This window comes from Homo sapiens, chromosome 11, assembly GCF_000001405.40.
Source record: "Homo sapiens chromosome 11, GRCh38.p14 Primary Assembly".
Classification (NCBI taxonomy): Eukaryota; Metazoa; Chordata; class Mammalia; order Primates; family Hominidae; genus Homo; species Homo sapiens.
Window position 1 is genome coordinate 102,363,232 of NC_000011.10, and position 16,895 is coordinate 102,380,126.

A 16,895-nucleotide genomic window follows, 5' to 3' on the forward strand; every position below is an offset into this window, starting at 1 on the left:
AGATTGTTTTTTTGTTTTTACTATTTTGAAAAATCATTTATGCTGCCACTGTACAAATTTGTGATGGGATTGGAGAAGGATCTTTAGTGTCTCTTTGCTGTTTTCCAGAAAAACAAACAAAAAATAACTTGTTAGGAGCTGAGACCCTTGGAGAGTAACCCAGTTAAAATCTTATTTTCCAAATGAAATGAGAAACCACTGATACATTTTTCTACTTTCCTGAAACTAGAGAAATACTTGATTTCTAATTTGGGATGACATGAAATTTAAGGAAATCTATGTGATTAGGGTAAAAGAAAGCAAAGCAAAGGTCATAAATCACTCAGTTCTCAAAAGAACATATACATTTACTTAAAGTAAGCTTATTTTAGTGTTGTTCTTTTCAGATTGTTGGGGATATCTGCTTTTACCTATTAACTTTTCTCTTGTTTCATAGCTGTTGTCAACTTCAGATACCACTGGAGAAGAAAATGCTGACCCACCAAGTATGTATGAGATAATTTTAAGTATAGAGTGTAAATTTTTATAAGAATTTTAGGAATAGGCTGGGTGCAGTGGCTCATGCCTGTAATCCCAACACTTTGAGAGGCCGAGGTTGACAGATCACCTGAGGTCAGGAGTTCGAGACCAGCCTGGCCAACATAGTAAAACTCCATCTACTAAAAATACAAAACTTAGCCGGGTGTGATGTGCCTGTAGTCTCAGCTACTCGGGAGGCTGAGGCAGGAGAATTGCTTGAACCCAGGAGGTGGAGGTTGCAGTGAACTGAGATTATGCCATTGCACTCCATCCTGGGCAACAGAGCGAAACTCCATCTCCAAAAAAAAAGGTAGGAATGAAAGTATGTATTTTTTAAAAGAGTTTCTGAAGCCATAGGGAAAAATACTGGGAAGTCAGCTAATAAATATTATATATATATATATATATATATATATATATATATACACACACACACAGAGAGAGAGAGAGAGAGAGAGAGAGAGAGTGTAATGACACTGTGGAGGACCCTAAAAGTGTACTAGTTTTTGTTCTAGTGCTATACTTATCACTTTTAGTGCTGACATTCCAACTGGAGAAATGAGACATAAGCAAAAGAAAAACAAAAAATAGTTCAAAGCAATGCCAAATAAGCGGTGCAAATAATAAACCCTCCAGAAAAGAAGAGTTTGCTGTGAGTTGGCATGATTTGGAAAACGTCAATTCACATATGATTCAAGAATTGGACTAGATGTTAGGTATTTAAGTCAGGTATGTTGTATTTCAGTGCAAGGGCAGGAAATAGTATAGCTTTTGATTAGAGCTTAATGTTAGCCACATCTGTCAATTTATGTAATATACATATGTTATTGTGTCTAAAATGGCTAAGGTAGTAATCCCGTTTTATGTGCCAATCACATCTACAAAGGGCCATTCTGTTTGTGGCACAGCATTTCAAGAAAGATTGGCAGATTTGTTAACTGGACCAGAGAAAGGTGACCAAGATGTATGAGTCTTAGAAACCATGGCTCAGGAGGATTGGATGAAGGATTTGGTAGTATTTGACTGGAAAATAGGAAGGAGAGTACTGGAAAATAGGAAGGAGAGTACCTGGGTACATGACAACTATCTCCCGTGTAATAGACCTAGAAAAGATAGATAGCAGTGTGGGCTGTTCTTAAAATTTATAACCACTGCTATTAAGTAGGCTGCCCTGCAGTTCTACCATAGGTCCTAATAAAATCACTTTGTCAATCTTTAAAATGACTGTTTCTTGTTTTCTGTCTTGATAATTTTCTAACACTCTCTTCCCACCTTACTGTCAGTTTATAATCTTGCTTCCCTAAGAAAATAGAATCCAAAAGAGAGCTGCTTTATTGCCTCACCAGCAAAACCACTAGGCTACATAATTTATCCTTGTACTTTTCTGTTTGTTCATAAAAGATGAATTGTCCTTGCCCTTTTCTAAGGCCATTACTTCTACTTGTCCTCTGTATTCCATCCCCTACTGTCAACTTAAGAAGGTTACTTTGGCAGTGACATACCCTTTCTCTCGAGTCTTCAATTTTTCCACCTCTCCTGAATCACTCATGTTAGCATATAAACATAATGTACTTTTGCTAATCCTAGGAAAATTTCCATGAATGAATGTCCCCATTCAGCTATTACCTTATTACTCTGCTTCCCTTTACAACAAAATACCTAGGAAGATTTATCTGTGCTTAACTCTGTTTTACTTCCTCACCTTTCATTCTTTCACTTGTTCTGCTAGAAACTGTTCTTGTCATGGTAACCAGGGACTGCCGTGTTAGCAAATCCACTACTTGACCTGTTAATTAGCATTTGATAATCACTGGGTGCTTTGTCGTTGTTTTTTCTTTTTGTGAAACAAGGTCTCACTTTGTCACCCAGGCTGTAGTGTGGTTAGGTGCCATCATGGCTCACTGCAGCCTTAACTTCCCTGGCTCAGGTGATTCTCTCACCTCAGCCTCCCAAGTAGCTGGGACTACAGGCATGCACCATCACATTCAGCTAAGTGTGTGTGTGTGTGTGTGTGTGTGTGTTTGTAGATACAGGGTTTCACCATGTTGCCCAGGCTGGTCTCAAACTCTTGAGCTTAAGCAATCTGCCTGCCTCGGCCTCCCATAGTGCTGGGATTGCAGGCATGAGCCACTGCATTTGGCCTCATCTTTCTTAAGACACATTTTTTGCTTGACTTATCAGACCCCATACTCTTGGTTTTCTATTTCCCTGGTTGGTCCTGAACAATTTCCTTTGTTGGCTGCTCCTTTTTCAAACTTCAAAATGTTGGAGTACCCCTCATAGCTCAGCTTAAATTTATTTCTCCATTTCCTGAGCCCCAAGCTGGAATGTCCAGCTAACTGTTTAAATCTCTACTTGGCTGTAACAGACATTGTAGAGTTAATATGACCAAACCGGAAATTTTCTTCCCCATTCTTCATCCCTCAGATTTGTTCCTTCTTTGGTCTTCCCCATCTCAGTTAATGGTACTCATTTCCCAGCATTAAAAGTTGGCTCAAGTTAGGCATCATCTCTGATTCCTCTCCTTCCTTTAGTTTGTATATTTAATCTATCAGAAGTCTTTTCATTTCTGTCTTCATAACATATGCCAAATCTGACTACATCTCACCATCTCCACCACTGTTTTTTTTTTTTGAGATGGAGTCTTGCTCTGTTGCCCAGGCTGGAGTGCAGTGGCGCAATTTTGGCTCACTGGAAGCTCCACCCGCCGGGTTCACGCCATTCTCTTGCCTCAGCCTCCCAGGTAGCTGGGACTACAGGCGCCCACCACCACGCCCGGCTAATTTTTTGTATTTTTTTTTAGTAGAGATGGGGTTTCACTGGATTAGCCAGGATGGTCTCGATCTCCTCACCTCATGATCCGCCCGCCTTGGCTCCCAAAGTGCTGGGATTACAGGCATGAGCCACCATGCCCGGCCCTCCACCACTATTAACCTAATCCAAACTACCGTCATCTGTGTCTAACATCCTAACAAGTCTTCCTGATTCTGGTTTACCCCATTAAAGTAACATCTCCACCGAGCTGCCAGAGTCATCTTCTGAAAACACAAGTCAAGTTTTATCAGTTGCATGCTTGAAACACTCCTAGAATATTCTACCAAACTTAGAATAAAATATAAACTCTTAGGAAGCCTCTGCTTATCTGGGCATTGTCCTCCTTTTTTTACCTTCTACCACCTTCTTTCTGTTTCTTGATCATGTCAAGCTTTTCCCTCAATTTAAGGTTTTTACACTTGCTGTTCTCTTTGCTTAGAAGACTTCTTTGAGATATTTCCATAGCTCACTCCTTTTTCCCCCCAGTATTAATAATTTTACATGTAATAGATGTATACATTCTTCATAAGGGAAAGAAAACTAAATGCTGTAGGCAATGCCAAATTCCCCTCTGATGCTTACATACAGTTCTGTTTCTAACTTCTAATACCCAGAGCTCAGTAGCATGGGCTAGGTATATACCAGTTTAGTTCGTTTGTATATTTTTAAATTTTTTCACAGTAGTCCAGCATATATTGCATTTTATTTATCCATTCCCTATTGAGAGCTATTCCTGTTATTTTCTGTTTTTTTTTTTCTGCTGTAAATATTGCTGTAATGATCCTCTAATGTGTCTCTTATCTTGAACATAAAGTATTTCCTCAAGGCATGCGCTTAAAAATGAAATAGAGCTCATTCCTTGTTATTTAAATCTTTGTTCTGGTGCCATTTCTTCGGACACGGATTCCACGCGTGTTTGAACAAGAGGGGACATTGTTGACGTTGTATATTTATTATAAGTTTCCAGAAGATGGCAGTAGTGTCTTGAAGAATTATGTCTTTTTGTATTTTTTCATAAAAGTATCATATGGGCTAGCATTGACTCTTAGCAGAAAATGCTTCCCTGACTACCCTATCTAAAATGACTTCCTGCTTCCTGGTTTCTTTTAATGACCTTACACTACTTTTTTCTTCAGAGCATCTGTCACTGTCTAAAATCATACTGCCTTAATTACTTCTGAAGCCATACTTTTTCACTACATCTTCTGGGTGAACTGATCTTCTATTTTACTATACTTCCCATTTTTGTTTATGTTATTCTCTCTACCTCAGCAATCCACTTGTCTAGACCCTGTCCATCCTTCAAGTCCAAACTCTAATGCGCCACTTTTCCATGAAGTCTTTGTGATTTCCCCCCACTTTCCTGGCTGGAGAAGATTATTTCTCACTTCTAAGTTCGTATAGCATATTGGTTTCCAGAAATGACTATACATCAGAATCATTTGGGAAATATTCAAAAGATACAGATTCCTAATTCTTATCCTTAGAGAATCTTTCATTAAGTAAGTCTAGGATGTAGCCAGAGAGGTGGGTTTTGTAAAAAGTATAGCATATTAATTGTATTCTCATTTGACCATTATGAAGTTCAAACTTTTATTGGAGTTATAGGTAATCGATGCATATAGCTCATCTCCTTTACCAGAATATGAGAGTAAAGGATGAATAAAGATTGTGCCATGATACTTTTTTCCATAGGTTTATGTTTGTGGAATTTAATATTAGCATGTTTCTTTTCAAATAGTTATTCATTTTGGACCTGGAGAAAGTTCTTCAGAAGATGCTGTCATGATGAATACACCTGTGGTTAAATCTGCCTTGGAAATGGGCTTTAATAGAGACCTGGTGAAACAAACAGTTCAAAGTAAAATCCTGACAACTGGAGAGAACTATAAAACAGTTAATGATATTGTGTCAGCACTTCTTAATGCTGAAGATGAAAAAAGAGAAGAGGAGAAGGAAAAACAAGCTGAAGAAATGGCATCAGGTATTTGGGGATGTTAGTCACCTGCATTGTTTCTCAGTGGAGCTCTTAGGACTGTCTCACATGTTACAGGACACCATGCTTGTTTCACATCCACTAACTGCTGGTAGCAGTCCTCCAGTCATTTCGAAACCATCCCTCCTTTTCTACCCCTTTCAATTGCTTCTAGTTGAGAACCATTGACTGCCGCTTTTTTCTATACATTTATTTTCGGATGAGGTTCTCTGATTTATGCCAATCAGAGAATTTTAGCATAATAAGCTCTTTCTTGAGCTGTATTCCATTTCTTTCTCATACATAACAAATTTAAATTGTTTTGAAAAAGCAAGATGTTAAAGTTGGATGCAGGTCTTTTTTCAACCTGTTTTTTTTTTTAAGTTTCTGCAAATCATATTTTTAATAGGATACTTTACTCCCTAATCCTTGCTAAGTGATCCTCATACACAAAATAGAACTTACAATGAAATTCTGGGGCTTGATGAGAACCACCTGCCCAATCCAAGGATAACAGGAAAACTGATTTTTGTATTCGTCCAGATAGTATTAAGTCTCGGCCTCTCAAAACAAGTATTTTGAGTAATCATTTATTCCTTCAATAAATTTTTTTTTTTCTTTTTTCTATTTTTTTTTAATTATACTTTAAGTTTTAGGGTACATGTGCACATTGTGCAGGTTAGTTACATATGTATACATGTGCCATGCTGGTGCGCTGCACCCACTAACTCATCATCTAGCATTAGGTATATCTCCCAATGCTATCCCTCCCCCCTCCCCCCACCCCACCACAGTCCCCAGAGTGTGATATTCCCCTTCCTGTGTCCATGTGATCTCATTGTTCAGTTCCCACCTATGAGTGAGAATATGCGGTGTTTGGTTTTTCGTTCTTGCGATAGTTTACTGAGAATGATGATTTCCAATTTCATCCATGTCCCTACAAAGGACACGAACTCATCATTTTTTATGGCTGCATAGTATTCCATGGTGTATATGTGCCACATTTTCTTAATCCGGTCTATCATTGTTGGACATTTGGGTTGGTTCCAAGTCTTTGCTATTGTGAATAATGCCGCAATAAACATACGTGTGCATGTGTCTTTATAGCAGCATGATTTATAGTCATTTGGGTATATACCCAGTAATGGGATGGCTGGGTCAAATGGTATTTCTAGTTCTAGATCCCTGAGGAATCGCCACACTGACTTCCACAATGCTTGAACTAGTTTACAGTCCCACCAACAGTGTAAAAGTGTTCCTATTTCTCCACATCCTCTCCAGCACCTGTTGTTTCCTGACTTTTTAATGATTGCCATTCTAACTGGTGTGAGATGGTATCTCATTGTGGTTTTGATTTGCATTTCTCTGATGGCCAGTGATGATGAGCATTTTTTCATGTGTTTTTTGGCTGCATAAATGTCTTCTTTTGAGAAGTGCCTGTTCATGTCCTTTGCCCACTTTTTGATGGGGTTGTTTGTTTTTGTCTTGTAAATTTGTTTGAGTTCATTGTAGATTCTGGTTATTAGCCCTTTGTCAGATGAGTAGGTTGCGAAAATTTTCTCCCATTTTGTAGGTTGCCTGTTCACTCTGATGGTAGTTTCTTTTGCTGTGCAGAAGCTCTTTAGTTGAATTAGATCCCATTTGTCAATTTTGGCTTTTGTTGCCATTGCTTTTGGTGTTTTGGACATGAAGTCCTTGCCCATGCCTATGTCCTGAATGGTAATGCCTAGGTTTTCTTCTAGGGTTTTTATGGTTTTAGGTCTAACATTTAAATCTTTAATCCATCTTGAATTGATTTTTGTATAAGGTGTAAGGAAGGGATCCAGTTTCAGCTTTCTACATATGGCTAGCCAGTTTTCCCAGCACCATTTATTAAATAGGGAATCCTTTCCCCATTGCTTGTTTTTCTCAGGTTTGTCAAAGATCAGATAGTTATAGATACGCGGTGTTATTTCTGAGGGCTCTGTTCTGTTCCATTGATCTATATCTCTGTTTTTGTACCAGTACCATGCTGTTTTGGTTACTGTAGCCTTGTAGTATAGTTTGAAGTCAGGTAGTGTGATGCCTCCAGCTTTGTTCTTTTGGCTTAGGATTGACTTGGCAATGCGGGCTCTTTTTTGGTTCCATATGAACTTTAAAGTAGTTTTTTCCAATTCTGTGAAGAAAGTCATTGGTAGCTTGATGGGGATGACATTGAATCTGTAAATTACCTTGGGCAGTATGGCCATTTTCACGATATTGATTCTTCCTACCCATGAGCATGGAATATTCTTCCATTTGTTTGTATCCTCTTTTATTTCCTTGAGCAGTGGTTTGTAGTTCTCCTTGAAGAGGTCCTTCACATCCCTTGTAAGTTGGATTCCTAGGTATTTTATTCTCTTTGAAGCAATTGTGAATGGGAGTTCACTCATGATTTGGCTCTCTGTTTGTCTGTTGTTGGTGTATAAGAATGCTTGTGATTTTTGTACATTGATTTTGTATCCTGAGACTTTGCTGAAGTTGCTTATCAGCTTAAGGAGATTTTGGGCTGAGACAATGGGGTTTTCTAGATATACAATCATGTCGTCTGCAAACAGGGACAATTTGACTTCCTCTTTTCCTAATTGAATACCCTTTATTTCCTTCTCCTGCCTAATTGCCCTGGCCAGAACTTCCAACACTATGTTGAATAGGAGTGGTGAGAGAGGGCATCCCTGTCTTGTGCCCGTTTTCAAAGGGAATGCTTCCAGTTTTTGCCCATTCAGTATGATATTGGCTGTGGGTTTGTCATAGATAGCTCTTATTATTTTGAAATAGGTCCCATCAATACCTAATTTATTGAGAGTTTTTAGCATGAAGGGTTGTTGAATTTTGTCAAAGGCTTTTTCTGCATCTATTGAGATAATCATGTGGTTTTTGTCTTTGGCTCTGTTTATATGCTGGATTACATTTATTGATTTGCGTATATTGAACCAGCCTTGCATCCCAGGGATGAAGCCCACTTGATCATGGTGGATAAGCTTTTTGATATGCTGCTGGATTCGTTTTGCCAGTATTTTATTGAGGATTTTTGCATCAATGTTCATCAAGGATATTGGTCTAAAATTCTCTTTTTTTGTTGTGTCTCTGCCCGGCTTTGGTATCAGAATGATGCTGGCCTCATAAAATGAGTTAGGGAGGATTCCCTCTTTTTCTATTGATTGGAATAGTTTCAGAAGGAATGGTACCAGTTCCTCCTTGTACCTCTGGTAGAATTCCGCTGTGAATCCATCTGGTCCTGGACTCTTTTTGGTTGGTAAGCTATTGATTATTGCCACAATTTCAGATCCTGTTATTGGTCTATTCAGAGATTCAGCTTCTTCCTGGTTTAGTCTTGGGAGAGTGTATGTGTTGAGGAATTTATCCATTTCTTCTAGATTTTCTAGTTTATTTGTGTAGAGGTGTTTGTAGTATTCTCTGATGGTAGTTTGTATTTCTGTGGGATCAGTGGTGATATCCCCTTTATCATTTTTTATTGCGTCTATTTGATTCTTCTCTCTTTTCTTCTTTATTAGTCTTGCTAGCGGTCTATCTATTTTGTTGATCTTTTCAAAAAACCAGCTCCCGGATTCATTGATTTTTTGAAGGGTTTTTTTGTGTCTCTATTTCCTTCAGTTCTGCTCTGATCTTAGTTATTTCCTGCCTTCTGCTAGCTTTTGAATGTGTTTGCTCTTGCTTCTCTAGTTCTTTTAATTGTGATATTAGGGTGTCAATTTTAGATCTTTCCTGCTTTCTCTTGAGGGCATTTAATGCTATAAATTTCCCTCTACACACTGCTTTGAATGTGTCCCAGAGATTCTGGTATGTTGTGTGTTTGTTCTCATTGGTTTCAAAGAACATCTTTATTTCTGCCTTCATTTCGTTATGTACCCAGTAGTCATTCAGGAGCAGGTTGTTCAGTGTCCATGTAGTTGAGTGATTTTGAGTGTTTCTTAATCCTGAGTTCTAGTTTGATTGCACTGTGGTCTGAGAGATAGTTTGTTATAATTTCTGTTCTTTTACATTTGCTGAGGAGAGCTTTACTTCCAACTATGTGGTCAATTTTGGAATAGGTGTGGTGTGGTGCTGAAAAAAATGTATATTCTGTTGATTTGGGGTGGAGAGTTCTGTAGATGTCTATTAGGTCCACTTGGTGCAGAGCTGAGTTCAATTCCTGGGTATCCTTGTTGACTTTCTGTCTCGTTGATCTGTCTAATGTTGACAGTGGGGTGTTAAAGTCTCCCATTATTAATGTGTGGGAGTCTAAGTCTCTTTGTAGGTCACTCAGGACTTGCTTTATGAATCTGGGTGCTCCTGTATTGGGTGCATATATATTTAGGATAGTTAGCTCTTCTTGTTGAATTGATCCCTTTACCATTATGTAATGGCCTTCTTTGTCTCTTTTGATCTTTGTTGGTTTAAAGTCCGTTTTATCAGAGACTAGGATTGCAACCCCTGCCTCTTTTTGTTTTCCATTTGCTTGGTAGATCTTCCTCCATCCTTTTATTTTGAGCCTATGTGTGTCTCTGCACGTGAGATGGGTTTCCTGAATACAGCACACTGATGGGTCTTGACTCTTTATCCAATTTGCCAGTCTGTGTCTTTTAATTGGAGCATTTAGTCCATTTACATTTAAAGTTAATATTGTCATGTGTGAATTTGATCCTGTCATTATGATGTTAGCTGGTGATTTTGCTCGTTAGTTGATGCAGTTTCTTCCTAGTCTCAATGGTCTTTACATTTTGGCATGATTTTGCAGCTGCTGGTACCGGTTGTTCCTTTCCATGTTTAGTGCTTCCTTCCGGAGCTCTTTTAGGGCAGGCCTGGTGGTGACAAAATCTCTCACCATTTGCTTGTCTGTGAAGTATTTTATTTCTCCTTCACTTATGAAGCTTAGTTTGGCTGGATATGAAATTCTGGGTTGAAAATTCTTTTCTTTAAGAATGTTGAATATTGGCCCCCACTCTCTTCTGGCTTGTAGGGTTTCTGCCGAGAGATCCGTTGTTAGTCTGATGGGCTTCCCTTTGAGGGTAACCCGACCTTTCTCTCTGGCTGCCCTTAACATTTTTTCCTTCATTTCAACTTTGGTGAATCTGACAATTATGTGTCTTGGAGTTGCTCTTCTCGAGGAGTATCTTTGTGGCGTTCTCTATATTTCCTGAATCTGAACGTTGGCCTGCCTTGCTAGATTGGGGAAGTTCTCCTGGATAATATCCTGCAGAGTGTTTTCCAACTTGGTTCCAATCTCCCCATCACTTTCAGGTACACCAATCAGACGTAGATTTGGTCTTTTCACATAATCCCATATTTCTTGGAGGCTTTGCTCATTTCTTTTTATTCTTTTTTCTCTAAACTTCCCTTCTCGCTTCATTTCATTCATTTCATCTTCCATTGCTGATACCCTTTCTTCCAGTTGATCGCATCGGCTCCTGAGGCTTCTGCATTCTTCACGTAGTTCTCGAGCCTTGGTTTTCAGCTCCATCAGCTCCTTTAAGCACTTCTCTGTATTGGTTATTCTAGTTATACATTCTTCTAAATTTTTTTCAAAGTTTTCAACTTCTTTGCCTTTGGTTTGAATGTCCTCCTGTAGCTCAGAGTAATTTGATCGTCTGAAGCCTTCTTCTCTCAGCTCATCAAAGTCATTCTCCATCCAGCTTTGTTCCGTTGCTGGTGAGGAACTGCGTTCCTTTGGAAGAGGAGAGGCGCTCTGCGTTTTAGAGTTTCCAGCTTTTCTGTTCTGTTTTTCCCCCATCTTTGTGGTTTTATCTATTTTTGGTCTTTGATGATGGTGATGTACAGATGGGTTTTCGGTGTGGATGTCCTTTCTGTTTGTTAGTTTTCCTTCTAACAGACAGGACCCTCAGCTGCAGGTCTGTTGGAATACCCTGCCGTGTGAGGTGTCAGTGTGCCCCTGCTGGGGGGTGCCTCCCAGTTAGGCTGCTCGGGGGTCAGGGGTCAGGGACCCACTTGAGGAGGCAGTCTGCCGGTTCTCAGATCTCCAGCTGCGTGCTGGGAGAACCACTGCTCTCTTCAAAGCTGTCAGACAGGGACACTTAAGTCTGCAGAGGTTACTGCTGTCTTTTTGTTTGTCTGTGCCCTGCCCCCAGAGGTGGAGCCTACAGAGGCAGGCAGGCCTCCTTGAGCTGTGGTGGGCTCCACCCAGTTCGAGTTCCTGGCTGCTTTGTTTACCTAATCAAGCCTGGGCAATGGCGGGCGCCCCTCCCCCAGCCTCGCTGCTGCCTTGCAGTTTGATCTCAGACTGCTGTGCTAGCAATCAGCGAGACTCCGTGGGCGTAGGACCCTCCGAGCCAGGTGTGGGATATAATCTCTTGGTTCGCCGTTTTTTAAGCCAGTCTGAAAAGCGCAATATTCGGGTGGGAGTGACCCGATTTTCCAGGTGCGTCCGTTACCCCTTTCTTTGACTCGGAAAGGGAACTCCTTGACCCCTTGGGCTTCCCAAGTGTGGCAATGCCTTGCCCTGCTTCGGTTTGCACACGGTGCGCGCACCCACTGGCCTGCGCCCACTGTCTGGCACTCCCTAGTGAGATGAACCCGGTACCTCAGATGGAAATGCAGAAATCACCCGTCTTGTGCGTCGCTCACGCTGGGAGCTGTACACCGGAGCTGTTCCTATTCGGCCATCTTGGCTCCTCCCCTCCTTCAATAAATATTTGTTGAGCATGAGCACCAGTGCCAAATACTGTGCCTAATCACAGTGGTTGCTGTCAAGGAGTATATACACTAGCTGGCGAGACTAGTGTGCAAAAGACAGGGTTAAAGGGCCAGCAGAGAGGCGAAGGTTGCATATGTATTGGAGTATTGCGTTGGAAGATGCTTTCTTTTTAAGCTTGTAAGTAAAGACAGGAATAACTTAAGAGTACCTTATTGCATGACCGTGTAGCAAAATATTTAAAGTCTGGACTTCTACATTGAAACAGATTTGTGTTTAAATTCTAGCTCCAGGCTGGGCGCGGTGGCTCATGCCTGTAATCCCAGCACTTTGGGAGGCCAAGACGGGCGGATCACAAGGTCAGGAAATTGAGACCATCCTGGCTAACACGATGAAACCCCGTCTTGACTAAAAATACAAAAAATTAGCCGGGCATGGTGGCGGATGCCTGTAGTCCCAGCTATTCGGGAGGCTGAGGCAGGAGAATGGCGTGAACCCGGGAGGCAGAGCTTGCAGTGAGCCGAGATCGTGCCCCTGCACTCCAGCCTGGGTGACAGAGCCAGACTCCATCTCAAAAAAAAAAAAAAAAAAATTCCAGTTCTATCAGTTACTAGCTTGGCTATTTATTCAACCAGACATCGGCTTTCTCATCTGTAAAATGGGGATAATAATAGTATGACTCCCATAGGGTTGCTGTAGGAATTAAATGAGATATTGCAAATAAAACACTTTAACACAGCTCCTAGCACGTCAATTTTTTTTTTTTTTTAAGCATTAGGTAGATTGACTTGGGAAGTGGGAGGGACTTGGTGAAAGAAAGGGCCTAAGAAAAGTCAATTTAAGGATTGTTAAGTAGTAATGAAATCCAGCTAAGGTTATATGAAATCACTGTCACCTTAGATTTATGACTTTCTCATACTTTGTATGGGTTGGAAAATAGTATTGAATTACAGATTTGGCAGTGTTAATAGGGGAAAGGGCAAGTAAGGAATACGGAAGATGAGTTAAGGGTGCTAATATAGAGAACTTCATTGAAATACCTGACTGCTACCTAGATTAGAATAGGAGGTTTGAAGCAAAGCCAGGAGATAGCTCTTGTGCAAGTAGAATTGGGAATGACATGGAGATCTTGAAAAGGTGAAGAACAAATTGGTTAGCAGTGAGAGGAATTATTTAGGTAGAAGAAAAAGTTGTCACAGAATGGAATTTTATAGTTTTGAGATTAATAGAGCAGTTCACTTCTAGAGAGATGTAAAAGGGGAAAGAAGATAGGCTTCTGTTTTTATAATTTATTTCTCATTAAACTGGTACTTTGTAGAGATGTACTTTTTAAATTTTTTTGAAAGTCTGAAAATAGACAAATTTTATAATGATTCAGATACCAAAAGAAGGAACTACCATATTCCATAAATATAAATTAACTGTGGAGTTTTATGTGATGCGATATTAAAGGAAAAACATTGGCTTTTTAAAAAAAGGTCAGGCTTGATTCTTAGGTAGTTTTTTTTAATTGCTATAAACATAGACATTTATAAAATAATAATGGTAGTTAACTATGTACCACATATTGTGCCAGATGCTTTACATGTATTATTCAATCCTTACAACTTTGAGGAAGGTACCGTTATGTATATTTTACAGATGAGGAAACTGAGGTGTATGGGGAAGGATGAGGACACATAGCTAGTGAGTGGGCCTAGCCAACACTGGAACCTAGGTCTGTTTTGACTTGGCAACTCAAACCCTACAATACTACAATACCACGTCTTAAGTATGGGGTGTTGAAAAGAACACTGGTCTAGGATGCCTGGTTCTGCAGCTTATTCTTTCTTGTGATCTTAGGCCACTCATTCTTTTCTGAGTCTTTTTTCTCCCTATGTAAAAATGAGAGGCAGTAATACTCGCCTTGTTTAATTGACAGGATCACTGTATCAAATGAGACAAATTACTATGAAAGTGCTTACAAAAGTAAAATGATATAATGGAAATACAAGAGTATTATTATATATGGTGGGGGGAAATTTTTACTGTCTTCTACAAATCTCTTGCAACAAAATAAAGTAAAAGCGGAGTTCTAGGACATGTAAATATATAGACTTAAAAATTAAACAGAGACTTCCTCTGGAAGTTTTCCAAACAACAAACTTACAAATGCAAACAAGTTACTTTGTTCTTTTTTGAACTTTATTTAGTGCCTAAATTGTTTGTAGGGTTGGTTATTAGTGACTATATGAGTATAGTTAAAGGAGTTTAAAATCTAATGGATTTCTTTTTCTTTTTTTAATGAAGATGATTTGTCATTAATTCGGAAGAACAGAATGGCTCTCTTTCAACAATTGACATGTGTGCTTCCTATCCTGGATAATCTTTTAAAGGCCAATGTAATTAATAAACAGGAACATGATATTATTAAACAAAAAACACAGATACCTTTACAAGCGAGAGAACTGATTGATACCATTTTGGTTAAAGGAAATGCTGCGGCCAACATCTTCAAAAACTGTCTAAAAGAAATTGACTCTACATTGTATAAGAACTTATTTGGTGAGTTTGTTGGGAAAATTATTTTAGAAATTCTTAGGACTGGCCAGATGCGGTGGCTCAGTTTTGTATTTAGTAGAGTAATGGTTTTTATGTTTTCTTTCCTCAGTGGATAAGAATATGAAGTATATTCCAACAGAAGATGTTTCAGGTAAAACAAAGATTTAAAACCAACATGAACTATTACCCTTTTTTTTTAATGAAGTGGAAACAATTTCACTAAAGTTATTTTTTGTTATTAGGTCTGTCACTGGAAGAACAATTGAGGAGGTTGCAAGAAGAACGAACTTGTAAAGTGTGTATGGACAAAGAAGTTTCTGTTGTATTTATTCCTTGTGGTCATCTGGTAGTATGCCAGGAATGTGCCCCTTCTCTAAGAAAATGCCCTATTTGCAGGGGTATAATCAAGGGTACTGTTCGTACATTTCTCTCTTAAAGAAAAATAGTCTATATTTTAACCTGCATAAAAAGGTCTTTAAAATATTGTTGAACACTTGAAGCCATCTAAAGTAAAAAGGGAATTATGAGTTTTTCAATTAGTAACATTCATGTTCTAGTCTGCTTTGGTACTAATAATCTTGTTTCTGAAAAGATGGTATCATATATTTAATCTTAATCTGTTTATTTACAAGGGAAGATTTATGTTTGGTGAACTATATTAGTATGTATGTGTACCTAAGGGAGTAGTGTCACTGCTTGTTATGCATCATTTCAGGAGTTACTGGATTTGTTGTTCTTTCAGAAAGCTTTGAATACTAAATTATAGTGTAGAAAAGAACTGGAAACCAGGAACTCTGGAGTTCATCAGAGTTATGGTGCCGAATTGTCTTTGGTGCTTTTCACTTGTGTTTTAAAATAAGGATTTTTCTCTTATTTCTCCCCCTAGTTTGTGAGAAACATCTCAATAAAGTGCTTTAAAAAGATTGTGTTACCAGAATATTTTTTCTTTCCTGATTTAAAAAGTAATTTTCATGTGTCTTCCTTGTACTCAAATGCCAGCTATTAAGTAAAAAATTGCATTCATGAGAAATTATTAAGTGTTGTTAAAATAATGTTATCTGTGAAATTTCTTTAGATGACAGTGTCTTGTTGCTTTGTATGTTATAGATACAATGTTGGATGAAAAATGAATCCAACATTAATTTCAGAAAACTCTTAAATTAGATAAATAGGCATTATTTTCAGACAGTAGTGTAATTGCTTTGTTGCATAGGTGTTGATGGGGTGAGGAGGCATACAGGCAATGAATGGTTAGTACCTCCTTTCTGGGTCCAGTCATATTTGACCTTTCTTAGATCTCACTCTGTGGCAGACTTCTGAAGCCAGGTAGATAAGGAAGTCTAATAGTAAAAACTCTCCATTTTTCTTCTCACCTCACAACTCTTTTGGATTCCTTTAGAGAACACATGGGAAGAGTGAGTAAGAATTTCTGTGTACCCCAGTCTCTTCTCTTGCCTTTGTTTCCATCCTGATATGCTGATACATGTATGTAAGTCCAAATGCATATACCTAGGTTCAAGACCTCATGAGAGAAACTCTCTCCGGCCATTATGGAGGGAATATAAAGAGGGAATTCTTTCCTCCCCCTCAAATTCAGTAGACTCAGAACAATGTTAAAACGTTAACTTTTCTCTGCCTCTCATCCTGGACTTGTGATTGCCAAAGGGATAATTAGCTCCGTCAAGGAATCAAATTAGAAGTCCTTTAGTCAGAACAGCCCAATATGTCTTAAGTCATAAAACTAATCCCCCTTGTTGTCACAGGATACTATTACATCTTTTTAAAAACTATTCTCTTTTTTCTTATTTTGCTTATAATAGCTACTCTATCAAGGATCCCATTTGCCAGATACAGTGCTAAATGCGTTAAACAATTGAGATGTGCTGTAGGTTCAGTTGTGTTCCCCGCAAATTTGTATGTTGAAGTCCTAATTGCCAGTACCTCAGAATGTACCTGTATTTGGAAATAGGGTTGTTAAAAGAGGCAAATAAGGTAAAATGAGATGATATAGTTGACTGCTAATCAACATGATTGGTGTTCTCTAAGAAAAGGGGATTAGGATACAGATGCACAGAGGAGTGACTATGTGAAGACACCCGAGGAAGAGGCCTCAGAAGAATCCAAACCTGCCAACACCTTGATCTTGGACTTCTAGCTTCCAGAACTGTAAGAAAATAAATTTCTGTTGTTTAAGCCACCCAGTCATTGGTACTTTGTTGTGGCAGCCTTAGCCAAGTAATACAAACTGCCGTTAATAGATACTTTAAAGCACATCGGCTCTGATCCTTTCAGCAATTTTGCAAAGTAAGATTTGAACACAGATCTGCCTGGCTCCTTAGCTTGTGCTTTTTTAACAAACTGTCCTAATAAGCTATACTT

General features: G+C 39.0%; 1 protein-coding gene across 3 annotated transcripts in view, besides 2 other annotated features; it reads left to right on the top strand.

The window, feature by feature from the left end:
• BIRC2 (baculoviral IAP repeat containing 2) overlaps positions 1-15,439 on the top strand; it is a 31,457-nt gene extending 16,018 nt beyond the window's left edge. For all 3 annotated transcript variants that reach the window (NM_001166.5, NM_001256166.2, NM_001256163.1), the window contains exons 5-9: positions 437-485; positions 5,075-5,317; positions 14,265-14,519; positions 14,626-14,667; positions 14,759-15,439. In NM_001166.5, coding sequence (NP_001157.1) covers positions 437-485; positions 5,075-5,317; positions 14,265-14,519; positions 14,626-14,667; positions 14,759-14,952 — 783 coding nt within the window. In that variant the 3' untranslated portion in view covers positions 14,953-15,439. The remainder of the gene's footprint in view (positions 1-436; positions 486-5,074; positions 5,318-14,264; positions 14,520-14,625; positions 14,668-14,758) is intronic.
• Positions 11,139-11,724: an enhancer, noted in NCBI's record as "OCT4-NANOG-H3K27ac-H3K4me1 hESC enhancer chr11:102245101-102245686 (GRCh37/hg19 assembly coordinates)". NCBI's record gives its function as "activates a minimal SCP1, AML or CMV promoter by ChIP-STARR-seq in naive and primed H9 embryonic stem cells {active_cell/tissue: H9 hESC(naive and primed)}" and the evidence as "EXISTENCE:reporter gene assay evidence [ECO:0000049][PMID:30033119]".
• Positions 11,725-12,309: an enhancer, noted in NCBI's record as "H3K27ac-H3K4me1 hESC enhancer chr11:102245687-102246271 (GRCh37/hg19 assembly coordinates)". NCBI's record gives its function as "activates a minimal SCP1, AML or CMV promoter by ChIP-STARR-seq in naive and primed H9 embryonic stem cells {active_cell/tissue: H9 hESC(naive and primed)}" and the evidence as "EXISTENCE:reporter gene assay evidence [ECO:0000049][PMID:30033119]".
• Positions 15,440-16,895: the final 1,456 nt, after the last annotated feature.